The sequence below is a fragment of the Homo sapiens genome, chromosome 7 (genome assembly GCF_000001405.40).
Source record: "Homo sapiens chromosome 7, GRCh38.p14 Primary Assembly".
NCBI classification, from domain to species: domain Eukaryota; kingdom Metazoa; phylum Chordata; class Mammalia; order Primates; family Hominidae; genus Homo; species Homo sapiens.
This window is the reverse complement of record NC_000007.14, coordinates 92,590,950-92,617,954: the sequence shown is the minus strand read 5'-3', so window position 1 is coordinate 92,617,954 and position 27,005 is coordinate 92,590,950. Positions and strand designations below refer to the sequence as shown.

General features: G+C 39.6%; 1 protein-coding gene and 1 long non-coding RNA gene across 4 annotated transcripts in view, besides 1 other annotated feature; both read left to right on the top strand.

Moving 5' to 3' along the window:
- CDK6 (cyclin dependent kinase 6) overlaps positions 1–13,034 on the top strand; it is a 231,653-nt gene extending 218,619 nt beyond the window's left edge. For all 3 annotated transcript variants that reach the window (NM_001145306.2, NM_001259.8, XM_047419716.1), the window contains exon 8: positions 2,669–13,034. In NM_001145306.2, the coding sequence (NP_001138778.1) occupies positions 2,669–2,815 (147 nt within the window). In that variant the 3' untranslated portion in view covers positions 2,816–13,034. The remainder of the gene's footprint in view (positions 1–2,668) is intronic.
- LOC105375397 (uncharacterized) lies at positions 17,020–25,935 on the top strand. The gene is made up of 3 exons (XR_927744.3): positions 17,020–17,521; positions 22,687–22,779; positions 25,807–25,935. It is a non-coding gene; the product is annotated as an uncharacterized LOC105375397 (long non-coding RNA).
- Positions 19,062–19,111: a silencer, noted in NCBI's record as "silent region_18373". NCBI's record gives its function as "represses an Ori minimal core promoter by ATAC-STARR-seq in GM12878 lymphoblastoid cells {active_cell/tissue: GM12878}" and the evidence as "EXISTENCE:reporter gene assay evidence [ECO:0000049][PMID:35858748]".
- Positions 25,936–27,005: the final 1,070 nt, after the last annotated feature.

Genomic DNA, 27,005 nt, shown 5'->3' with positions numbered 1-27,005 from the left:
AGCCACATGGAGCAGGAGGCAACAGTCCCTCCAGAGGTTTCATTTTCACACTTGTAGCAGCTGGTGGCTTTTGATTCTGGAATGTCTTTCTGATCCACATTTTTTTAAATCTGCCATCTTTGAATGTTTATTTCAATGCAGGTTTAGAAGCCTCTCGATTCACTTTGACATATGTTTCTTTAGAAGTAAATATTATGTTTCCTTTCTTACAGTTTCATGCTACTTTAAGTAATTTGTTTGTCATTTTAACGTGCCTTTTCTTAAACATTCACAACTTTGGGGAGATGTTTTTCCAAAAGAACTATATAGCAATACTTCTTCTAGTTGCTGATTTATTTAATAAGTATTTAGTGTGCCAGGGACATATAAAATACCTCACTGAAAATAAGGACTTCTGTGCTCTGAGACTCTTAATGCTCAACCATATACATAATTTCCTATACTTGGAGGCCAGAACAATAGGTAGAAAAGTGTACCTGTTGGGCTGTTCTTGATGTCTGAAACCCAGTGAGTAATGAGTGTCTGCTTTACCTCCTGAATTAACAGCCTTTGATATCTGCTTCTGCCCGTGGGTGAAGCACAGGTCTTCTCCATGTGTCTCATGCTGGGGCCCATGCCAGAGAGGCAGCAGCTCCCTGGGGCATGTTTTTCTCATGATAGAAGGTATCGATGCTCCAGAAGGGCAAGCAGAAATATGCAATGCCCCTGAAGGTCCATACTTGGAAGAAGTACCCGCCACTCTGCCCATGTTCCATTGGCCAAAGCAAGTTCCATGCCTAAGGCCAACTTGAATGGAGGAAAGAATGCTCCCCCTATGGTGAGAGGGGAGAGAAAAGAGGGAATATGTACTAAAAGTTATCCAATCTACCATAGTATCCAACTCTTGACTAAGTTGTGATTCCAAAAGCTCATTTTATAAGTAAACTATTTGGCAATTAAACTAAATTTTCTTGCAGAAACAATATTATTAACACAAAGTTTTTTAATTAACCCTCAACCTGGCAACCTTGTTCCTGAAGTAGAGCAATAATAGAACTTAAACACCTTTTTTTTAACCATATTTCTATAGGACAAAATGTATTAAGACTTCCAACGTGAGATTCTCCCACACCCCCACATTTGGCTAAGGTGTTCTCCTTCTCTCCACCCTCTTCCCAGCTTTAAGCCATCAGTGTAGCTGTGAGGAAAGGGCTTCCTCTCACATAATCCTCTAGAGACATGTCTCTGTATTGTGAATGTATTCCCACAGCTCTTTTCTCTTCTTTCCTATGTCCTGGAGATTAAATGCCACTACCTAATTTTCTCCTTCTTGGGCTCTGGGAAAAGAGAACTCAGGCTCAGGAATTTTGCCCCTGCTTTCCGGTCCTTTGGGAATTCAGCCCTTGCAAAGCTTTTCTAGAGATGTTTCTTGCTGTTAGAGACAGTTGGAACCTTTCTACAGACAAGCTCTTTCTTCCACTTGCCCTTTAGCTCTTGATGTTCAGAAGATCCTATAGGGAGGCTAGCAACCATGGACTGATGGGGATCTCAGGATAAATCAGATTTCAGAGGACCCAAGAATTTGCCTGAAATTACACATAGAACTTTCTGTTTGTATTTGTTTTTCTAGGTCAGTAGCCTTCGATAGAATATTAGAGAGGTCCCTAATCCAGTTGGAACCTGACTAGGACTGTGAGCAGGAGTCCTATTAATATCATGGTTATGCAGACCTCTTAAGTGGAAGAGGTCTTCCATTAACCATGATAATGTGAAGTCTGTAAATTACATAGAAGACTGGAATGCATAGACATTTCATATACCCAGTTCACTTTAGGATGGAGAAGCCAGTGTGGCTTCCCTGCTACTTGTGAGCTCCTGTGGCAATGAGGAGGTCTTACTCATCACTAATTAGTGCTTGCCACCTGCTAGGCACCCAGCAGGAGGCGTTGATGGAAGGAGAGGAGGAGGATTTGAGTAACAAGATTACCTGAGGTAGGGGTGGAAATGAGACTGAAATTAGGGACACATTCTAACTAATTTAGGTATGGACAGTTTGGGAATAGAGATTGCTGCTACTGCAAAGGTTTCCCTTTCCCTCCTTTCACCTTCTACCTCAGTAGCTCAGCCAAACTGCCCAAACCACTTGACTAGGACCAGGAGCTTCTTAAGCGCAGGCACCAGCTCATTCACCTTGGTAGCCCTACACTTGAGCTGTCAGCCTGGAATAGAGTTTAGTGACTCGAACTGAATCTAATGGTCCCCTGAGAGAGCTACTGCTAGCCATGTGGCACCTTGGTATTAATTAAAAGGAAGATAGCCCTGCCTCTGAGTGGTGTAGCCTTGAGGCAGGATAATAAGTTACGGTGAAGTCTCCGACTGTAGCACTAAGTTTGCTAGCACTGGAAGAATTACTAAATAAAGTTATATGCATACTTTAATGGCTTAGTGAGAAATCCTGGGCAGGAAACAGTCCATAGGCACCCAAAAGGGTCTTCTCCTGAGGGACATTTTATACATTAGGGATATATATGAGTACTGTCTCCATATTATTTAGTGTCCCTTTAAATAAATACTCATTCCCACTGTAGATGCGCTTAACATATGACAGTGAATAAAGGGATAACTCTGTAAGTACATTATTTACATTGATGTATTGTATATCAACCAATTATTTTTTTCTTTATTACAGAAGTGTTTGACATTTAACCCAGCCAAAAGAATATCTGCCTACAGTGCCCTGTCTCACCCATACTTCCAGGACCTGGAAAGGTGCAAAGAAAACCTGGATTCCCACCTGCCGCCCAGCCAGAACACCTCGGAGCTGAATACAGCCTGAGGCCTCAGCAGCCGCCTTAAGCTGATCCTGCGGAGAACACCCTTGGTGGCTTATGGGTCCCCCTCAGCAAGCCCTACAGAGCTGTGGAGGATTGCTATCTGGAGGCCTTCCAGCTGCTGTCTTCTGGACAGGCTCTGCTTCTCCAAGGAAACCGCCTAGTTTACTGTTTTGAAATCAATGCAAGAGTGATTGCAGCTTTATGTTCATTTGTTTGTTTGTTTGTCTGTTTGTTTCAAGAACCTGGAAAAATTCCAGAAGAAGAGAAGCTGCTGACCAATTGTGCTGCCATTTGATTTTTCTAACCTTGAATGCTGCCAGTGTGGAGTGGGTAATCCAGGCACAGCTGAGTTATGATGTAATCTCTCTGCAGCTGCCGGGCCTGATTTGGTACTTTTGAGTGTGTGTGTGCATGTGTGTGTGTGTGTGTGTGTGTGTGTGTGTGTATGTGAGAGATTCTGTGATCTTTTAAAGTGTTACTTTTTGTAAACGACAAGAATAATTCAATTTTAAAGACTCAAGGTGGTCAGTAAATAACAGGCATTTGTTCACTGAAGGTGATTCACCAAAATAGTCTTCTCAAATTAGAAAGTTAACCCCATGTCCTCAGCATTTCTTTTCTGGCCAAAAGCAGTAAATTTGCTAGCAGTAAAAGATGAAGTTTTATACACACAGCAAAAAGGAGAAAAAATTCTAGTATATTTTAAGAGATGTGCATGCATTCTATTTAGTCTTCAGAATGCTGAATTTACTTGTTGTAAGTCTATTTTAACCTTCTGTATGACATCATGCTTTATCATTTCTTTTGGAAAATAGCCTGTAAGCTTTTTATTACTTGCTATAGGTTTAGGGAGTGTACCTCAGATAGATTTTAAAAAAAAGAATAGAAAGCCTTTATTTCCTGGTTTGAAATTCCTTTCTTCCCTTTTTTTGTTGTTGTTATTGTTGTTTGTTGTTGTTATTTTGTTTTTGTTTTTAGGAATTTGTCAGAAACTCTTTCCTGTTTTGGTTTGGAGAGTAGTTCTCTCTAACTAGAGACAGGAGTGGCCTTGAAATTTTCCTCATCTATTACACTGTACTTTCTGCCACACACTGCCTTGTTGGCAAAGTATCCATCTTGTCTATCTCCCGGCACTTCTGAAATATATTGCTACCATTGTATAACTAATAACAGATTGCTTAAGCTGTTCCCATGCACCACCTGTTTGCTTGCTTTCAATGAACCTTTCATAAATTCGCAGTCTCAGCTTATGGTTTATGGCCTCGATTCTGCAAACCTAACAGGGTCACATATGTTCTCTAATGCAGTCCTTCTACCTGGTGTTTACTTTTGTTACCTAAATAATGAGTAGGATCTTGTTTTGTTTTATCACCAGCACACAGATTGCTATAAACTGTTACTTTGTGAATTACATTTTTATAGAAGATATTTTCAGTGTCTTTACCTGAGGGTATGTCTTTAGCTATGTTTTAGGGCCATACATTTACTCTATCAAATGATCTTTTCTCCATCCCCCAGGCTGTGCTTATTTCTAGTGCCTTGTGCTCACTCCTGCTCTCTACAGAGCCAGCCTGGCCTGGGCATTGTAAACAGCTTTTCCTTTTTCTCTTACTGTTTTCTCTACAGTCCTTTATATTTCATACCATCTCTGCCTTATAAGTGGTTTAGTGCTCAGTTGGCTCTAGTAACCAGAGGACACAGAAAGTATCTTTTGGAAAGTTTAGCCACCTGTGCTTTCTGACTCAGAGTGCATGCAACAGTTAGATCATGCAACAGTTAGATTATGTTTAGGGTTAGGATTTTCAAAGAATGGAGGTTGCTGCACTCAGAAAATAATTCAGATCATGTTTATGCATTATTAAGTTGTACTGAATTCTTTGCAGCTTAATGTGATATATGACTATCTTGAACAAGAGAAAAAACTAGGAGATGTTTCTCCTGAAGAGCTTTTGGGGTTGGGAACTATTCTTTTTTAATTGCTGTACTACTTAACATTGTTCTAATTCAGTAGCTTGAGGAACAGGAACATTGTTTTCTAGAGCAAGATAATAAAGGAGATGGGCCATACAAATGTTTTCTACTTTCGTTGTGACAACATTGATTAGGTGTTGTCAGTACTATAAATGCTTGAGATATAATGAATCCACAGCATTCAAGGTCAGGTCTACTCAAAGTCTCACATGGAAAAGTGAGTTCTGCCTTTCCTTTGATCGAGGGTCAAAATACAAAGACATTTTTGCTAGGGCCTACAAATTGAATTTAAAAACTCACTGCACTGATTCATCTGAGCTTTTTGGTTAGTATTCATGGCTAGAGTGAACATAGCTTTAGTTTTTGCTGTTGTAAAAGTGTTTTCATAAGTTCACTCAAGAAAAATGCAGCTGTTCTGAACTGGAATTTTTCAGCATTCTTTAGAATTTTAAATGAGTAGAGAGCTCAACTTTTATTCCTAGCATCTGCTTTTGACTCATTTCTAGGCAGTGCTTATGAAGAAAAATTAAAGCACAAACATTCTGGCATTCAATCGTTGGCAGATTATCTTCTGATGACACAGAATGAAAGGGCATCTCAGCCTCTCTGAACTTTGTAAAAATCTGTCCCCAGTTCTTCCATCGGTGTAGTTGTTGCATTTGAGTGAATACTCTCTTGATTTATGTATTTTATGTCCAGATTCGCCATTTCTGAAATCCAGATCCAACACAAGCAGTCTTGCCGTTAGGGCATTTTGAAGCAGATAGTAGAGTAAGAACTTAGTGACTACAGCTTATTCTTCTGTAACATATGGTTTCAAACATCTTTGCCAAAAGCTAAGCAGTGGTGAACTGAAAAGGGCATATTGCCCCAAGGTTACACTGAAGCAGCTCATAGCAAGTTAAAATATTGTGACAGATTTGAAATCATGTTTGAATTTCATAGTAGGACCAGTACAAGAATGTCCCTGCTAGTTTCTGTTTGATGTTTGGTTCTGGCGGCTCAGGCATTTTGGGAACTGTTGCACAGGGTGGAGTCAAAACAACCTACATATAAAAAGAGAAAAAGAGAAACTTGTCCATTTAGCTTTCATAAGAAATCCCATGGCAAAGGGTAATAAAAAGGACCTAATCTTAAAAATACAATTTCTAAGCACTTGTAAGAACCCAGTGGGTTGGAGCCTCCCACTTTGTCCCTCCTTTGAAGTGGATGGGAACTCAAGGTGCAAAGAACCTGTTTTGGAAGAAAGCTTGGGGCCATTTCAGCCCCCTGTATTCTCATGATTTTCTCTCAGGAAGCACACACTGTGAATGGCAGACTTTTCATTTAGCCCCAGGTGACTTACTAAAAATAGTTGAAAATTATTCACCTAAGAATAGAATCTCAGCATTGTGTTAAATAAAAATGAAAGCTTTAGAAGGCATGAGATGTTCCTATCTTAAATAAAGCATGTTTCTTTTCTATAGAGAAATGTATAGTTTGACTCTCCAGAATGTACTATCCATCTTGATGAGAAAACTCTTAAATAGTACCAAACATTTTGAACTTTAAATTATGTATTTAAAGTGAGTGTTTAAGAAACTGTAGCTGCTTCTTTTACAAGTGGTGCCTATTAAAGTCAGTAATGGCCATTATTGTTCCATTGTGGAAATTAAATTATGTAAGCTTCCTAATATCATAAACATATTAAAATTCTTCTAAAATATTGCTTTTCTTTTAAGTGACAATTTGACTATTCTTATGATAAGCACATGAGAGTGTCTTACATTTTCCAAAAGCAGGCTTTAATTGCATAGTTGAGTCTAGGAAAAAATAATGTTAAAAGTGAATATGCCACCATAATTACTTAATTATGTTAGTATAGAAACTACAGAATATTTACCCTGGAAAGAAAATATTGGAATGTTATTATAAACTCTTAGATATTTATATAATTCAAAAGAATGCATGTTTCACATTGTGACAGATAAAGATGTATGATTTCTAAGGCTTTAAAAATTATTCATAAAACAGTGGGCAATAGATAAAGGAAATTCTGGAGAAAATGAAGGTATTTAAAGGGTAGTTTCAAAGCTATATATATTTTGAAGGATATATTCTTTATGAACAAATATATTGTAAAAATTTATACTAAGGTCATCTGGTAACTGTGGGATTAATATGGTCGAAAACAAATGTTATGGAGAAGCTGTCCCAAGCAAACTAAATTACCTGTACTTTTTTCCCATTTCAAGGGAAGAGGCAACCACATGAAGCAATACTTCTTACACATGCCTAAGAACGTTCATTGAAAAAATAAATTTTTAAAAGGCATGTGTTTCCTATGCCACCAATACTTTTGAAAAATTGTGAACCTTACCCAAAACCATTTATCATGTCCATTAAGTATATTTGGGTATATAATTAGGAAGATATTTACATGTTCCATCTCCACAGTGGAAAAACTTATTGAGGCTACCAAAGTGTGCCAAGAAATGTAAGTCCTTAGAGTAATTAGAAATGCTGTTTTCCTCAAAAGCATGAGAAACTAGCATTTTCATTTCTTATTTACTCCCTTTCTATATCAATGCAATTCACAACCCAATTTTAATACATCCCTATATCTCAAGCATTTCTATCTTGTACTTTTTCAGAAAATAAACCAAAAATAATCCTTTGGTCTCTCTATCTTCTGACCTTTGTAAGCAACAGAAATGTAAAAACAGAAGGGGTCCAATTTTTACACGTTTTTTTCTCAAGTAGCCTTTCTGGGGATTTTTATTTTCTTAATGAAGTGCCAATCAGCTTTTCAAAATGTTTTCTATTTCTCAGCATTTCCAGGAAGTGATAACGTTTAGCTAAATGAGTAGAAGTGGACTTCCTTCAACATATTGTTACCTTGTCTAGCCTTAGGAAGAAAACAAGAGCCACCTGAAAATAAATACAGGCTCTTTTCGAGCATCTGCTGAAATACTGTTACAGCAATTTGAAGTTGATGTGGTAGGAAAGGAAGGTGACTTTTCTTGCAAAAGTCTTTCTAAACATTCACACTGTCCTAAGAGATGAGCTTTCTTGTTTTATTCCGGTATATTCCACAAGGTGGCACTTTTAGAGAAAAACAAATCTGATGAAGACTAAAGAGGTACTTCTAAAAGAGATTTCATTCTAACTTTATTTTTCTGCGCATATTTAACTCTTTCCTAGCACTTGTTTTTTGGGATGATTAATAGTCTCTATAATGTTCTGTAACTTCAATATTTTACTTGTTACCTAGGTTCTGAACAATTGTCTGCAAATAAATTGTTCTTAAGGATGGATAATACACCCATTTTGATCATTTAAGTAAAGAAAGCCTAGTCATTCATTCAGTCAAGAAAAAATTTTTGAAGTACCCAGTTACCTTACTTTTCTAGATTAAAACAGGCTTAGTTACTAAAAAGGCAGTCCTCATCTGTGAACAGGATAGTTTCGTTAGAAGTATAAAACTCCTTTAGTGGCCCCAGTTAAAACACACATACCCTCTCTGCTGCTTTCAAATTCCCTAGCATGGTGGCCTTTCAACATTGATTAAATTTTAAAATCCTAATTTAAAGATCAGGTGAGCAAAATGAGTAGCACATCAGTAATTCAGTAGACAAAACTTTTGTCTGAAAAATTGCTGTATTGAAACAGAGCCCTAAAATACCAAAAGACCAGGTAATTTTAACATTTGTGGAATCACAAATGTAAATTCATAAGAAGCTCTAATTAAAAAAAAAAAGTCTGAAGTATATGAGCATAACAACTTAGGAGTGTGTCTACATACTTAACTTTTGAAGTTTTTTGGCAACTTTATATACTTTTTTTAAATTTACAAGTCTACTTAAAGACTTCTTATACCCCAAATGATTAAGTTAATTTTAGAGGTCACCTTTCTCACAGCAGTGTCACTTGAAATTTAGTAGGGAAGGATATTGCAGTATTTTTCAGTTTCCTTAGCACAGCACCACAGAAAGCAGCTTATTCCTTTTGAGTGGCAGACACTCGACGGTGCCTGCCCAACTTTCCTCCTGAGTGGCAAGCAGATGAGTCTCAGTAATTCATACTGAACCAAAATGCCACATACACTAGGGGCAGTCAGAAACTGGCTGAGAAATCCCCCGCCTCATTCGCCCCTCTGCTCCCAGGAACTAGAGTCCAGTTAAAGCCCCTATGCGAAAGGCCGAATTCCACCCCAGGGTTTGTTATAACAGTGGCCAGTCTGAACCCCATTTGCTCGTGCTCAAAACTTGATTCCCACTTGAAAGCCTTCCGGGCGCGCTGCCTCGTTGCCCCGCCCCTTTGGCAGGAGAGAGGCAGTGGGCGAGGCCGGGCTGGGGCCCCGCCTCCCACTCACCTGCCGGTGCCTGAAATTATGTGCGGCCCCGCGGGCTGCTTTCCGAGGTCAGAGTGCCCTGCTGCTGTCTCAGAGGCATCTGTTCTGCAAATCTTAGGAAGAAAAATGTCCCTAGTAGCAAACGGGTGTCTTCTGTGCATAAATAAGTACAACACAATTCTCCGAAAGTTCGGGTAAAAAGAGATGCGGTAGCAGCTGCCCTGTGTGAAGCTGTCTACCCCGCATCTCTCAGGCGCTAAGCTCAGTTTTTGTTTTTGTTTTTGTTTTTTTAAAGAAAAGATGTATAATTGCAGGAATTTTTTTTTATTTTTTTATTTTCCATCATTCTATATATGTGATGGTGAAAGATATGCCTGGAAAAGTTTTGTTTTGAAAAGTTTATTTTCTGCTTCGTCTTCAGTTGGCAAAAGCTCTCAATTCTTTAGCTTCCAGTTTCTTTTCTCTCTTTTTCTTTGTTAGGTAATTAAAGGTATGTAAACAAATTATCTCATGTAGCAGGGGATTTTCATGTTGAGAGGAATCTTCCGTGTGAGTTGTTTGGTCACACAAATAACCCTTTCTCAATTTTAGGAGTTTGGATTGTCAAATGTAGGTTTTTCTCAAAGGGGGCATATAACTACATATTGACTGCCAAGAACTATGACTGTAGCACTAATCAGCACACATAGAGCCACACAATTATTTAATTTCTAACTCTCTGTGGTCCCTAGAAAAATTCCGTTGATGTGCTTAGGTTAAAGTTCTGAAGATACCCGTTGTACCCTTACTTGAAAGTTTCTAATCTTAAGTTTTATGAAATGCAATAATATGTATCAGCTAGCAATATTTCTGTGATCACCAACAACTCTCAGTTTGATCTTAAAGTCTGAATAATAAAACAAATCCCAGCAGTAATACATTTCTTAAACCTCACAGTGCATGATATATCTTTTCATTCTGATCCTGTGTTTGCAAAAATATACACATGTATATCATAGTTCCTCACTTTTTATTCATTTGTTTTCCTATTACCTGTAGTAAATATATTAGTTAGTACATGGAATTTATAGCATCAGCTACCCCCAGGAACAGCACCTGACAGGCGGGGGATTTTTTTTCAAGTTGTTCTACATTTGCATAAATTATTTCTATTATTATTCATGTATGTTATTTATTTCTGAATCACACTAGTCCTGTGAAAGTACAACTGAAGGCAGAAAGTGTTAGGATTTTGCATCTAATGTTCATTATCATGGTATTGATGGACCTAAGAAAATAAAAATTAGACTAAGCCCCCAAATAAGCTGCATGCATTTGTAACATGATTAGTAGATTTGAATATATAGATGTAGTATTTTGGGTATCTAGGTGTTTTATCATTATGTAAAGGAATTAAAGTAAAGGACTTTGTAGTTGTTTTTATTAAATATGCATATAGTAGAGTGCAAAAATATAGCAAAAATAAAAACTAAAGGTAGAAAAGCATTTTAGATATGCCTTAATTTAGAAACTGTGCCAGGTGGCCCTCGGAATAGATGCCAGGCAGAGACCAGTGCCTGGGTGGTGCCTCCTCTTGTCTGCCCTCATGAAGAAGCTTCCCTCACGTGATGTAGTGCCCTCGTAGGTGTCATGTGGAGTAGTGGGAACAGGCAGTACTGTTGAGAGGAGAGCAGTGTGAGAGTTTTTCTGTAGAAGCAGAACTGTCAGCTTGTGCCTTGAGGCTTCCAGAACGTGTCAGATGGAGAAGTCCAAGTTTCCATGCTTCAGGCAACTTAGCTGTGTACAGAAGCAATCCAGTGTGGTAATAAAAAGCAAGGATTGCCTGTATAATTTATTATAAAATAAAAGGGATTTTAACAACCAACAATTCCCAACACCTCAAAAGCTTGTTGCATTTTTTGGTATTTGAGGTTTTTATCTGAAGGTTAAAGGGCAAGTGTTTGGTATAGAAGAGCAGTATGTGTTAAGAAAAGAAAAATATTGGTTCACGTAGAGTGCAAATTAGAACTAGAAAGTTTTATACGATTATCATTTTGAGATGTGTTAAAGTAGGTTTTCACTGTAAAATGTATTAGTGTTTCTGCATTGCCATAGGGCCTGGTTAAAACTTTCTCTTAGGTTTCAGGAAGACTGTCACATACAGTAAGCTTTTTTCCTTCTGACTTATAATAGAAAATGTTTTGAAAGTAAAAAAAAAAAATCTAATTTGGAAATTTGACTTGTTAGTTTCTGTGTTTGAAATCATGGTTCTAGAAATGTAGAAATTGTGTATATCAGATACTCATCTAGGCTGTGTGAACCAGCCCAAGATGACCAACATCCCCACACCTCTACATCTCTGTCCCCTGTATCTCTTCCTTTCTACCACTAAAGTGTTCCCTGCTACCATCCTGGCTTGTCCACATGGTGCTCTCCATCTTCCTCCACATCATGGACCACAGGTGTGCCTGTCTAGGCCTGGCCACCACTCCCAACTTGACCTAGCCACATTCATCTAGAGATGGTTCCTGATGCTGGGCACAGACTGTGCTCATGGCACCCATTAGAAATGCCTCTAGCATCTTTGTATGCATCTTGATTTTTAAACCAAGTCATTGTACAGAGCATTCAGTTTTGGCTGTGGTACCAAGAGAAAAACTAATCAAGAATATAAACCACATTCCAGGCTGCTGTTTTCTCTCCATCTACAGGCCACACTTTTACTGTATTTCTTCATACTTGAAATTCATTCTGCTATTTTCATATCAGGGTACAGACTTATAAGGGTGCATGTTCCTTAAAGGTGCATAATTATTCTTATTCCGTTTGCTTATATTGCTACAGAATGCTCTGTTTTGGTGCTTTGAGTTCTGCAGACCCAAGAAGCAGTGTGGAAATTCACTGCCTGGGACACAGTCTTATAAGAATGTTGGCAGGTGACTTTGTATCAGATGTTGCTTCTCTTTTCTCTGTACACAGATTGAGAGTTACCACAGTGGCCTGTCGGGTCCACCCTGTGGGTGCAGCACAGCTCTCTGAAAGCAAGAACCTTCCTACCTATTCTAACGTTTTTGCCCTCTAAGAAAAATGGCCTCAGGTATGGTATAGACATAGCAAGAGGGGAAGGGCTGTCTCACTCTAGCAACCATCCCTCCATTACACACAGAAAGCCCTCTTGAAGCAAAAGAAGAAGAAAGAAAGAAAGCTTATCTCTAAGGCTACTGTCTTCAGAATGCTCTGAGCTGAATGCTCTTGCTCCTTTCCCAAGAGGCAGATGAAAATATAGCCAGTTTATCTATACCCTTCCTATCTGAGGAGGAGAATAGAAAAGTAGGGTAAATATGTAACGTAAAATATGTCATTCAAGGACCACCAAAACTTTAAGTACCCTATCATTAAAAATCTGGTTTTAAAAGTAGCTCAAGTAAGGGATGCTTTGTGACCCAGGGTTTCTGAAGTCAGATAGCCATTCTTACCTGCCCCTTACTCTGACTTATTGGGAAAGGGAGAACTGCAGTGGTGTTTCTGTTGCAGTGGCAAAGGTAACATGTCAGAAAATTCAGAGGGTTGCATACCAATAATCCTTTGGAAACTGGATGTCTTACTGGGTGCTAGAATGAAAATGTAGGTATTTATTGTCAGATGATGAAGTTCATTGTTTTTTTCAAAATTGGTGTTGAAATATCACTGTCCAATGTGTTCACTTATGTGAAAGCTAAATTGAATGAGGCAAAAAGAGCAAATAGTTTGTATATTTGTAATACCTTTTGTATTTCTTACAATAAAAATATTGGTAGCAAATAAAAATAATAAAAACAATAACTTTAAACTGCTTTCTGGAGATGAATTACTCTCCTGGCTATTTTCTTTTTTACTTTAATGTAAAATGAGTATAACTGTAGTGAGTAAAATTCATTAAATTCCAAGTTTTAGCAGAATGTGTTTTTTTTCTTTCTTTTTTTTTTTTTTTTTTTTTTTTTGGTGCTTCTTATTTGCAACCTGGCCATGTGGTAGAAAGAATGTGTTTTAAAGTTTTACTTTAAGAGATTCCTTTTCAGGCTTCTAGTGTTTAAAAAGTAAATAACAGCTAAGTGAGCTTAGAACTCATTCAACAATTGGCCGGGCACGGTGGCTCATGCCTTTAATCCCAGTACTTTGGGAGGCCGAGGCAGGCAGATCACCAGAGGTCAGGAGTTCAAGACCAGGCTGGCCAACGTGGTGAAACCCTGTGTCTACTAAAAATACATGAAAACTAGCCGGGCATGGTGGCACGCGCCTGTAATCCCAGCTACTCAGGAGACTGAGGCAGGAGAATCACTTGAACCTGGGAAGTGGAGGTTGCAGTGACCTAAGATGGCGCCACTGCACTCCTGCCTAAGCAACAGAGCAAGACTCCATCTCAAAAAAAAAAAAGAACTCATTCAACAATCATGCGTTGCTTAATGACTGAGATACAGTCTGAGAGATGCATTGTTAGGGGATTTCATCGTTGTGAGAACATCATAGAGTGTACTTACACAAATACACACCTAGACTAGATGGTGTAGCCTAAGCCTCCTAGGCTACAAACCTGTATAGTATTGAATACCGTAGGCAATTGTAACACATTGTTAAGTATTTGTGTATCTAAACATAGAAAAGGTACAGTCAAAATATGGTATAAAAGATAAAAAATGGTACACCTGCAAAGGGCACTTACACTGAATGGAGCTTTCAGGACTGGAAGTTTCTCAGGATAAGTCAGTGAGTGGTGAGTGAATGTGAAGGCCTAGGACATTACACTACTGTAGACTTTACTGTACACTTAGGTCACACTAAATTTATTTTAAATTTTTTCTTTAATAATAAATTAACCTTGGCTTACTGTAAATTTTTTAGTTTATAAACTTTAATTTTTTTAACTTTTTGACTTTTTTTTTTTTTTTTTGAGACAGGGTCTCACTCTGTCACCTACGCTGGAGTACAGTGGCACAATCATGGCTCACTGCAGCCTCCACCTCCCAGGCTCAACCTATCCTCCCACTTCAGTCCCCTACCCCCAAGTAGCTGGGATTTCAGGGGCATGATTGACTCTTTTATAATAACACTTTATTTTTAAACACAAACACATTGCACAGCTATACAAAAATATTTTCTTTATTCTATAAGATTTTTTCTATTTTTAGTTTTTTTTTTAATTTTTAAACTGTTTCATTAAAAACTAACATGCAAACACACACATTAGCCTAGGCCTACACAGGGTCAGGGTTATCAATATCATTGTCTTCTACCTCCATATCTTGTCCCACGGGAAGGACTTCAGGGGGCAATAACACACATGGAGCTGTCATCTCCTGTGATAGTGCCTTCTGAAATACTTCCTGAAGGACATGCCTCCGGCTGTTTTACAGTTAACTTTTTTTATAAGTAGGCGTACACTCTGTAGCAATGATTAAAAGTATAGTATAGTAAATACATAAATCAGTAACAGCCATTTATCATTATCACAAATGTGAGTCATGTGTTACACTGTGACATCACTAGGCAATAGGAATTTTTCAGCTCCACTATAATCTTACCAGACCACCGTTATATATTCAGTTCATCATTATGCAGTGCATGACTGTATTTATTGAACCCTCATTAGTTGACTGTGCTAAGCACTGAAGTTACAAAAATGAGTAAGGCAATGGACAGTCCTTTCAGGAGCTTACAGGAAGAGAAGGGGCTGTGAAAAAGGTTTGTGTAACTAATTGCTAATCACCTGGAGATGAGCAAAGTTTTCACCTTGGAAATCATGCTTAAGGGGACTCAAAAACAAAGAGCAATGATTTCCAGTTTCATGAGGAGAAATACTTTGCCCATGTAGAGGCCTGTAGTTTTATGAAAGAGCAGGCAGGGAAGGTGAGGAGGCTGGTGAGACTGTGCCTGGGACAGTGGCCTTCAAATATCTGGATCATAACCTAGAGAAAGAAATAGAATCTGCCAGCATGAGCTGGTACACACATACACACACATACACACACACACATATATGCTGGATCATTTTCTTTGAAGCTGTGTACAAACAGCTCCTTTGGTTATCTCTGGTATTTGGTACTCACTTAGGACCACATTGCATTAAAAAAGCCTAGTAGCCTTTTGCCATTGATTTTACCCTCTGGACTGTCATCCCAATTTACATTTCCTGTTGTCTAGGGAAGAACTCCTTATGTGGATGGCTCCCGGAAGGCCATATTTGTTCAAACTTACATTTTACAAAATGATGCTATGTGGTCCACACATTCTCTTTTCTGTTTTGTTATCTACTACTCTGAAAATAACTAGTGACTAAAGCTGATTTCACAATCACATGAATAGGCCATGACTTACAGTTTGAAAATTATTGATAAAAGAGGCGGGTATGTGAAGGAGAGTCAGGAGGTAAGGTCATATAGGCCATGTAAAGGAGCTTGGAACCACAGAAGGACTTTAAAGAAGGAGATTATTTCTGTTAATTTTTGTTCAACTATGTATGTACTGGAGGCAGAGGGAGGAATAGATCAAGCAGCTCCCGAGATACTACACAATAAACCAAAAGGGGGATCATTGTCACTGATACATATATTCCTCTCTTCGTATATAATATCAGGTATACTGTATTTAAATTGGACTTCCAGAATTCCCTAGAAGCTCCCATTAGGACTTGCCTTTATTTTTTTATAGGTCCTAAATTGCATTTAAATTTTATTTATTTATTTATTTTTGAGGCAGGATCTTACTCTGCACGTAGACTAAAGTGCAGTGGCACAATCTCACCCCCCAAGTATCTGGGACTACAGGCAGGAACCACCACTCCTGGCTAATTATTATTATTCTTATTTGTAGAGACAGGGTCTCACTATGTTGCCTAGGCTGGTCTCAAACTCTTGGGGTCAGGTGATCCTCCTGCCTTGGCCTCCCTAAGTGCTGGCATGAGCCACCATGCCCAGGAGGCTGGTGAGACTGTGCCTGGGACAGTGGCCCTCAAATATCTGGATCATAACCATTTAGATTTTTAAACTTTAAATTTTAAATTTTAAAACTCTTTAAAAAATATTCATGAGGTAATATAAAGGGTCAAGAATTTGATCTTTATTAAGATATCAAAAACTTGTGGTTTATAAAGGGGTCAGTCATAATGATACATGTTTCCACAAACCATAGGCATCTACAACCAGGTTTGATTGGACCATTTTCTTTATTTTTTATTTTATTTATTTATTTATTTATTTTTGAGATGGAATTTCGCTCTTATTGCTTAGGCTGGAGTGAAGTGGCGCGATCTCGGCTCACTGCAACTTCCGCCTCCCAGGTACAAGTAATTCTCCTGTCTCAGCCTCCCAAGTAGCTCGGATTACAGGCATGCACCACCACACCTGGCTAATTTTTTGTGTATTTAGTAGAGATTGGGTTTCACCATGTTAGTCAGGCTGGTTGCAAACTCCTAACCTCAGGTAATCCACTCCCCTCGGCCTCTCAAAGTGCTGGGATTACAGGCTTGCGGCACCGCGTCTGGCCTACTGGACCTTTTTTTTTTTTTTTTTTTGAAGCTATGTATGAACAGCTCCTTCAGTTATCTCTGTATTACTCACTCAGAACCTACTATACATTACATTACATTACATTACATTACATTACATTACATTACATTACATTACATTACATTACATTAAGAACCTAGTAGCTGTTTGCCGCTGATTTTGCCCTTTGGAATGTCAGCCCAATTTGCACCTCCTGTTCTGTAGGGAAACACTCTTAATGGTAGGGATGGGTCCCAGGATGCCATGTTTGCTCTGCAGTGTGGTGAAACCCAGTCTCTACTAAAAATACAAAAATTAGCCAGGCATGGTGGTGCATGTTTGTAATCTCAGCTGCTTAGGAGATTGAGGCAGGAGGATCACTTCAACCCGGGAGGCAGAGGCTGCAGTGAGCTGAGATCACACCACTGTACTCCAGCCTGGGAGACAGAGTGAGACTCTGTGGAATAGAATGCAAAATTCAGATTCTTAAGGCAATGTATTTCTACTTTTATAGATTTATTTTTAAATAAACCCATTTTTATAAAAATGAAAAAAATACAGATAACTTCAAAGATACTATTTGACTTTAATAACTGCATTGGAGGATACCACTAGATGCCCCTTGATACAATTCCCTCTCCTGTGGAAAATTTTGAGAAGCACCACAGCAGCCAAGAGAACACATTGGCACTTGTTTGGAAAGGGGTCTGTTGTTCTAAATGCTGTACCTCCTCTGGTCTCCAGGATTCTTCATTTGAAAATGACAACTATTCTGTGATAAAGAAAGTCAAGTTTACCCATATTCACTGGATGTCTACAACTGGTGTCGGCTTTCAAAGAGCATCCGATACAAGGAGGCAGAAGCATCAAGAGGCACCCAGTAGTTCATTGGTTCAACAGTGATGGTTTGTAATAATAGACCCTCCCTCCTGCTCCTTGGATTGCATTGTGATACAGTGTTATTTAACTGTGGATGCAGCAAAAATAGTGCCCTGGAGGAGAAGGGAAGCAATTGACATCCAGTGAACTCCCCAAGTGCCAATTTGGTACATGCCATACAAACTATCTTATTTCATCAAGTCATTCTTACCTCCAAAGTGAGAATAAGTAGATGGTGTGGTCAGCCCCAAAAAGTTCTGAAATGAAGTTGTATATAAACACATAGGAAAGAAATATCAGTGCATGCTCTAGGGTCTAGTGGTGCCTAAACAGAGTAGAGGTTCAATAGTATTGAATGGATTAGTGATGAATTTCCAGTGGCCAAGTGACTGAAATGTAACTGCTGAAATAAAATCATCACATACTTACCATAAAATATTTAAAGAATACAAAAACTACTAAGAAAAAAATTAATATTACCTGAAACTCCACAACCTGGAGAAAATCACTGCTAATATTTTGATAAATAATTTCTAGATACCTAGCTTTGTACAGATACATGTAAGATACAGGAATGAAATTTTACGCTATGATGATGGGCTGGCTGTACACCCCATTCAATAACTTGTGTTTTGAGTGTTGTGTGTTGCTTTACAGAAGATCTTGGACAATTCGTCATTGCAATACATATAAATCTACATTAACTTCTCTTACAGCTGAATAGTGTGCCATTGTGTAAATGTACTATAATTTACTTACCCAATCCCCTATTGATAGGTATTTCTCCCCACCATATATCCAATTTTTTACTGTTAGAAACAATGCTTCTAAGGAGGGTGCGGTGGCCCACGCCTATAATCCCAGCACTTTGGGAGGCCAAGCCCAGGGGTTTGAGACCAGCCTGGGAACATGGTGAAACCCCGTCACTACAAAAAATACAAAAAAAAAGCCAGGCACGGTGGCATGGACCCTGAGACTGAGGTGGGAGGATGGCTTGAGCCAGGAAGGTCCAAGTAGTAAGTCATGATTGTGCCACTGCACTCCAGCCTAGTTGACAGAGTGAGACCCAGTCTCAAAAAAAAAAAAAAAAAAAAAAAAGAAGAAGAAGAAAGAAACAGTGCTTCTAAGGGCAGTACTGCGCATGCATTTATATTTATTTGCATATGTCAGCAGCTAGCTTTAAGTCATCTCATCACTGGAAACTCATACATTCATTCATTCAACACTTAATGAACTTCTGTTCCAGGCACCAGCAAACCCTAGAAATACAGTAGTGAACAAAACAAGGTGCTTGCTCTCATGGAGCTAACATAAATATTTGCATAGGATAATTACATTATGATAAGTGCTAAAATTGCTATAAGGTAGAAAGTACTTGCATTGGCCAATGCAAAGACTTTGGTATTTACTCTGAATAAGATGGGAAACTGCTGGAAGATGGGAAACTGGTGTCAGAAAAGGCCCTGTCAAAAGAGTTGAGGCATGAAGAATGAGACTAAGGCAGCTAGGTGGGGTGCTCAGGGGAAAGCAGCTGAAAGCTTCAAGGTAGGAAGGCTTGGTATGTAGAAAAGACATCAGTGAGCCTAGAGCATAGTCAGTCGGGGGAGGAGTGGTCAGAGATGAGGTTAGAGAGGTAGAGAATGTAGACAGCCTGTTTGAGAAGCTGAATCATAAAGCAGAACAGAGAAATGGAGGTAGAGCTCAGGGAGGATGTGGTATCAAAGGAGAATTCTTGTTTTCTGAGATGGAAGACAGTCCATTGTGGAAACAGAGAGATTGAGGGTGAAAAAGAAGCAATAACAGCAGAAGCAAAGGTAATGAGAAGAGGGAGAGGAAGGGCCCAGGAGAACAAGAGGAAGAGCTGGATTTGAGAGAGAAAAGGATTAATGGGAGGGCAGGCAAAGACAGTGGGTACAGGTACAAACAGACCAGTCAATATGGCAGTGAAACTAGTCATTGATTCATTTAGTAAATATTTATTGAGCACAGTGATGTGCCAGGCACTGTCCTTAGGCACTGGGGATGTGGCAGTAAACAAAATACACAAAATGTCTTGTTTTTATGGAGCTTGTTTTCTAGTGAGGGGCAACAAATAAATAATTATAGTAAACTAGGATGTTAGATACATGTGTGGGAAGAAATGAGGAAAGGAATATAAAGTGTCATGGGGGTGCAATTTTAAACGAGGAGATCAGTGAAGGCCTCATAGAGAAGGTGACACTAGATCAAAGGACTTACAGAGAAGAGGAATCTAGGTGTATTAGTGATGAAGAAAACAACAGGTGCTAATGCCTTAAGGCAGGAGCATGCCTGCCATGTCCAAAGAACAGCAAGGGGGCCAGTGTAGCAGCAATTAACTGCAAGAGAAAGAAAGGAGATATTCCAGGGAAGTTAGTGGCAGGAGAAGCATATCTTGGAGGGGCTTCTTGGCCAATGCAAAGACTTTGGTATTTACTCTGAATAAGATGGGAAACTGCCGGAAGGCAAGAAGCACAGTCGTGACATATGATCTGTTTGTAAAGCCACTGTGACTGCTCTATTGAGAAAATACTTTAGGGTGGCAAAGATGTAAGCGGGGAGCCTGGGTTAGGAGGCTGTTGTAATAATCCAGATGAGAGATAATGGTAGCTTTGATCAAAGTGAAAACAATGGAGACAACAAGATGTAAGATGTTTTGAAGGTAAAGGTTATAGTAGGTGCTTATAAATTAGACATGGCATTGAAAGAGAAGAAGCGTGGATGGGCTGGGCGTGGTGGCTCACGCCTGTAATCCCAGCACTTTGGGAGGCCGAGGTAGGTGGATCACCTGAGGTCAGGAGTTTGAAATCAGCCTGGTCAACATGTGAAAGCCCATCTACTAATAAGAAAAAATACAAAAATTAGCCAGATGTGGTGGCGGGCGCCTGTAATTCTAGCTACTTGGGAGGCTGAGGCACAAGAATCACTTGAACCCTGGAGGCGGAGGTTGCAGTGAGCTGAGATCACAGCATTGCACTCCAGCCTGGATGACAGAGTGAGACTTTGTCTAAAAAAAAAAAAGTGAGGATGTCTCTGAAGTTTTTGGCTTAAGCAGGTGGAAAGATCAAGTTGCCATTTACTGAGATGGGAAGAATGTAGGAGGACCTGGTTTTAGGGAGAATATTGGGAGTTGGACACTGGACATGTTAAGCTTGAGCTCATATGAGACACTGAAGTGAGGATGTTGACTAGGCAGTTAGAGGCATGAGTCTAGATTCCAAGGAAGTGGTCTAGATTGGAAATAAAAGTTTTGAAGTTGTCAGTGTATGGATGGCATATAAAGCTAGAGATTGGATGAGATCAACAAGAAAGAAAGTGTCTATAAAAAGAAGAGATCCCGGCTGGGTGCGTTGGCTCATGCCTGAAATCCCAGCATTTTGGGAGGCCGAGGCAGGCGGATCACCTAAGGTCAGGAGTTCAAGACCAGCCTGACCAACATGGAGAAATCCCATCTCTACTAAAAATACAAAATTAGCCAAGCGTGGTGGCGCCTGCCTATAATCCCAACTACTAGGGAGGCTGAGGCAGGAGAATTGCTTGAACTCGGGAGGCGGAGGTTGTAGTGAGCCAAGATCATGACATTGCACTCCAGCCTGGGCAACAAGAGTGAAACTCCGTCTCAAAAAAAAAAAAAAAAAAAAAAAAAGGAAAGATCCCAGAACCAAGCTCTACAGTGCCCCAGTGTTTATATGCCAAGCTCTACAGTGCCCCAGTGTTTATATCCCAGGAGACGAAGGAAAATATGCAACAGAGACTAAGTGGACTTTACGAGAAGCAGAAGGTGAGCATAGTGTCTGGAAATCCAAGTGAAAAAAAATCTTTTGAGGAGGAGAGAGTCATTGTTGTGACAAATGCTGCTGATAGGTCAAGGAAAATAAGGGGCAACTGATTAAGCAACATAGAGAAGATGAGCAACCTTGAAAAGAAATCTTGATTAGGTGGTAGAAGTAGAAGCCTGATTAGATTGGATTCAAGAAAGAATTGGTCAGTAAGTGGGATGTGAAAAATACTAACTGTGAAATGAAAAGTACTAAGTGTAAAGTAAAAGATGTGAGGTGTGAAGTATGACCTGGTACAATATTGACCCCACACTTTGATAAGCTCAGAGTACTTTCCTCCTAAGATCAAGAACAAGGCAAGAATGTCAGCTTTCACCACTTCTATTCGACACTGTACTGGAGGTGCTAGCTAATGCAATAAGCAAGAAAACAAAAAACATACAGATTAGAAGGGAAGTAAAGTCTCTCTCTCTCTCTTTTTTTTTTTTTTTTTTTTTTTTTTGAGATGGAGTCTCACTCTGTTACCCAGGCTGGAGTGCAGTAGCAAGATCTTGGCTCACTGCAACTTCCACCTCCCGGGTTCAGGCAATCTACCTCAGCCCCCAAGTAGCTGGGATTACAAGCATGTGCCACCATGCCCGGCTAATTTTTGTATTTTTAGTAGAGACGAGGTTTTACCATGTTGGCCAGGCTGGTCTCAAACTCCTGACCTCAAGTGATCTGCCCACCTCGGCCTCCCAAAGTGCTGGGATTACAGGTGTGAGCCGCCACACCTGGCAAGTCTCTCTTTATTCAAAGACAGTATGAGTGTCTATGTAGAAACTCCAAAGGCTCTACCAAAAAAAAAAAAAAAAAAGGCTACTAGAATGAATAAATTTAGCAAGGTTATAGGTTTAACTGCAAAAGGGCACAAGGAAACTTTCTAGAGAGATGGAAAATGATATCCTGATGGTAGTCACGGTTACATGATCATATATATTTTTCAAAACTCATCAAACTGAACATTTTAAACTGGTGGATTTTACCGGATGTGGAATATACCTCAATAAAGCTGATTTTTAAAAGAAAAAATAAAGATGTTTTCTTTCAATGCTAACAACAAAGCCATCCTGAAATAATTGTCCAAGAATGTTTATAGCTTGTGAGTCACCTCAACAAGGGTGGAACGAGAGGAAAATTACAGTGAAATTATAACCCATTGATTCAGTTGGCGCCCTCATGAACACCAGAAACTTTCCTTTCTGACTCACTTTACTTGGTAGCTTCCACTGCCTTTATCCAATAATAGTACTCAACCTGGGGTTTACAAACGGAAAATTAATTAAAATGAATGTCTATTTGGTTTTCATGATCCAAATCCTTTTTTAAAAACATCCTTTTTATATTTTTTACAGCGAGAAATATAGTTGTCAGGAGCACAAGATGATCACGTTTGCTGGTGATCATTTTCTCTGCATGTAGGCAAAATTACATCCAGAAGTTAAATGGTGAGTGTGGAATCGGAGCAAGGGGAGTTGATTAGCTGAGCAGTCCTATAAAATAAAATAAATCAGAAAGAAGGGAATATGGTGGAAAATAAAAATTCCTATACCTGCCCTCTAAACTCACTAATACCATTATGAAGTATCCAGCAATGAAGATTTCAAGCATACGTACGTAAAAAGTTGAACCATATGAAATTGCCATTCTCATAGGTTAGAAATTACTGCATGTCGGCAATTTCATAAGGCTCAACCAATGCATCCTCTTGCTGCACATACTGCCATACTCTATATACTCACATTCTTTTTTTTTTTTTTTTCTTGAGACAGGTTCTCACTTTGTCACCCAGACTGGAGTGCAGTAGCATGAACACAGCTCACTGCAGCCTCAACCTCCCTAGGCTCAGGTAATTCTCCCACCTCAGCCTCCCAAGTAGCTGGGACCATTATGCACCGCCAACCCCGGCTAATTTTTTATAGAGATGAGATTTTGCCCTGTTGCCCAGACTGGTCTTCAACTCCTGAGCTCAAGCAATCTACCCACCTCGGCCTCCCAAAGTGCTGAGATTGCAGGTGTAAGCTACTGTGCCCGGCCTACTCATACTCTTTATAATTCTCTTTTTCACTTAATAATAATGTATAGTGGCCATTTTTCCCTATCAACACATACAGCTCTACATCACTTTCTAAATAACTGCATAATTTGCCATTACATGGACATACCATACTTTAACCCTTTTGATGGATATTTAACTTGTTTCCTGTCTTTTGCTCTGTCATTTAATATAGTTGGATAAACACAACGGCTGTTGTCTTCAAACACAAAAGCTCCATGTTTTCATTTCCAGTCTAGTGACATGCATGCCAAAACAACATACTTGGGTTTGTGGGTTGAGTTTCTGTATCTCTCACCATTGTTTAAAATCTCAAATACCCACACAACAATAACAAAAAAAAATAGGAAAATCAGGCTGGGCTTGGTGGCTCATGCCTGTAATCCCAGCAATTTGGGAGGCCGCGGCGGGCGGATCACTTGAGGTCAGGAATTCAAGACCAGCCTAGCCAACAAGGTGAAAACCCATCTCTACTAAAAATACAAAAATTAGCCAGGCATTGTGGTGACGTGTGCCTGTAATCCCAGCTACTTGGGAGGCTGGAGCAGGAGAATCACCTGAACACGGGAGGCAGAGGTTGCAGTGAGCTGAGATCTCACCACTGCACTACAGCCTGGGTGACAGAGCGAGACTCTGTCTCAAGAAAAAAAAAAAAAGAAAAAAGAAAAAGAAAAATATATAGGACAATCCACTATATTGTTTAATTTGGATATAGACCCAAGTTCATCGCTAAAGATGCCACCTGAGTTATAATCTTTGTTATTCAAGCTGAAAAATCCTGCCCCAGAGAATTATTATTATTATTAGACTGTTACTATTTACAGCTTTGCCTTTTATCAATGCTTATGTTACTACCCTGCTTAAACAGCTTTATCTCATTTGCAAGAACATGGGTAGATCTGGAGGATGTTATATTAAGTGAAATAAGTCAGGCACAGAAAGACAAATACTGCATGATCTCACTTATATGTGGAATCTAAAAAGGCTGAACTCATAGAAGTAGAGAGTAAAATTTGGTTATCAGGGGCTGGAGGAGTGGGAAGGGAGGGAAGTGGGAGCTGCGGATCAAAAAGTACAAAGATTTAAATAGACAAGAACAATAAGTTTTGAGATCTACTGCACAGCAGGGTGACTATGGTCAATAATAATGTATCATATATTTCAAAATAACCAAGAGTAAGTTTCAAATGTCTCACCATAAAAAAAATAGGTAGGCAAGGTGATGGATATGTTAATTTGTTTAATCACTCCACATTGTATACATATAACAAAATATCATATTGTACTCCATAAATGTATACAGTGATTTGTCAATTAAAATAATATTAATTTTTAAAAGGCTCTACAGCTGGGTGTGGTGGCTCATGCCTGTAATCCCAACACTTTGGGAAGCCGAGGAGGGTGGATCATCTGAGGTCAGGAGTTCGAGACCAGCCTGGCCAACATAGTGAAACCCTGTCTCTACTAAAAATACAAAAATTAGCTGGGTGTGGTGGTGCATGCCTGTAATCCCAGCTATTTGGGAGGCTGAGGCAGGAGAATCGCTTGAACCCAGGAGGCAGAGGTTGCAGTGAGCCGAGATCTCACCACTGTACTCCAGCCTGGGCAACAGAGCAAAACTCTATCTCAAAAAAAAAAAAAAAAAAAAAGGCTCTGCCTGCAGAATAAAATATAACTTCTTCCTTTGGCATTCGAGGTCCTTTGCCTCCAGGCCCAGTGTACCTTTCCAGCCTTGTTCCCTTCTATCATAAGTGTTCTATGCTGCCAAACCTGACCACATCACCACTCCTTTTACGCGGGCTATTCCCTCTGTAATGTCCTTCCCTCTCAGTTCCTCTGAGGGAAGCTGGCCCAGGGTCACAATCCACCTGAAATGCCACTTCTCAATCCTCCCTCTCTTCTCTCCCCTCCCAAAGGCAGTGTGATTTTGTAAGGAAAGCATATGCTTTCATGGTGTGGGTGGGTGTGTGTGTGTGTGTGTGTGTGTGTGTCTACGCGTGCCTGTGTGTCTATGTGTGTATTTAATAGAGACTGCATCTTGTAAATGCTTTCATGTTTGACACACCTGTGTTTGAATCCCCAGCTTCTCTGCTTTCTTGCTGTGGAAGCTGGCACAAATTACTCGGCTTCCCTTCGCCTCGGTTTTTCTCATCCACAAAATGGAATGTAATCTCCTGGTTATGCCTAGAACATTCGGGAGGGCATGTAGGCCCACTGCTAGGACAGAAATGTATTTATTAGCAGATCACACATGTGCAGAGAATGTGTAAAGATTTCTACTGTCACTGAATTATATCCTGAGAAGTCTTGGACTGATTTGTTCTTTATGTAGTCCACTCAGATGAGCTCCCGATAGCTCTTGCCATCTTCCTTATCTTCACAGGCCCCTGGTCATTTTCTTGTTTCTCTGTCCCCCCAGGGATTCACGTTTCATCCAGGAGGGGTTGTGTACACTCGCAGAGAGAGAGAGACTTCTAAAGGAAACACAACCTTTCTGTTGACTTATACCATATTTTTAAAAATCTCTGTGTTCTGTACAATCAGCCAACCAAGGAAGTGAAAGGTAAGAAGGAGCTGAAGAGGGAAAAAAAAAACTATATTCTCTCACAGGTATTATCATGCTTATCATGTTGGAGTATTAAAAATAATATCTGTCAAATGCCTAGAATATTTAAAACATGAAAAATAAGCCAGGAAAGAAAGAATAACTTAATATTAATAGGTTCTCCTCTTCCTCTTGTGTATAAAAAGAAGCCTGTCTTCAGTCAGAGTCCCCAGCTTAAGTCGGGGGTAATGGAGGAGGAGGAGAAATGAGAGACTGGAGGCCTCATTTTGGAAAGTGGGTTACTGAGGAAGAATCAACACTTAGTAGGGAGCAGAACCACCAAGGACTGCATGTGAGAGTTTGGAAAAGTTTTGAGACAGAAGATGGTAGTTGGGAGCATCTGTCATATAGTGTAGCATGAAAAATGCAGGGAGGGAGGGAGGCAGAGATCGGGAAAGATGATTTTAAAGCATGTTCTTGTATGTAATTAGTGTAATTCCCATTTTGCCATTTCCAAGAGTCCGGAGAAGATCCTAATTGATTTTCAACTACTTCCTAATGATACTTGCTAAGATGAACCCAGAGGGGTCGCTTTATCTATAAATACTTACTAAATATGATTATCTTCTCTGGAGCCCAGATCATCTTCCTTAAAGTTGCAGTGCAGTAGTGCCAATATTACGATATGCTATGCAGTAAAGTTGGCCCTGTGTGTGTTTATTGCCCTTACGAGTTTATAAACAGGCTCCTTGACGATAGGGATTTTTCTTAATCATCTTTGTGCCCTACCCAGCTCCAGCTTCCAGCCACCCAGTTAGTGAAAACTGTACAAACTACATGTTCAAAAATTAGTGTGAAATGAATGCACAGGTGATGAATGAATGGGATTGAAATTAAAGGGTGATTTCGTTAGCAGCGTCTATGACAGCACTGCCTTTCCCCCCACCAGCTGATGGGCTCCGTGAGGGACCAAGGCTCTTTGGTCCTCACTTTGTCCCCAGCACTTGCACTCTGTCAAGCACAAAATAAGCATCGGGAGAATCTTTGTGTCCCCTCGAATGAGTATTTCAGTG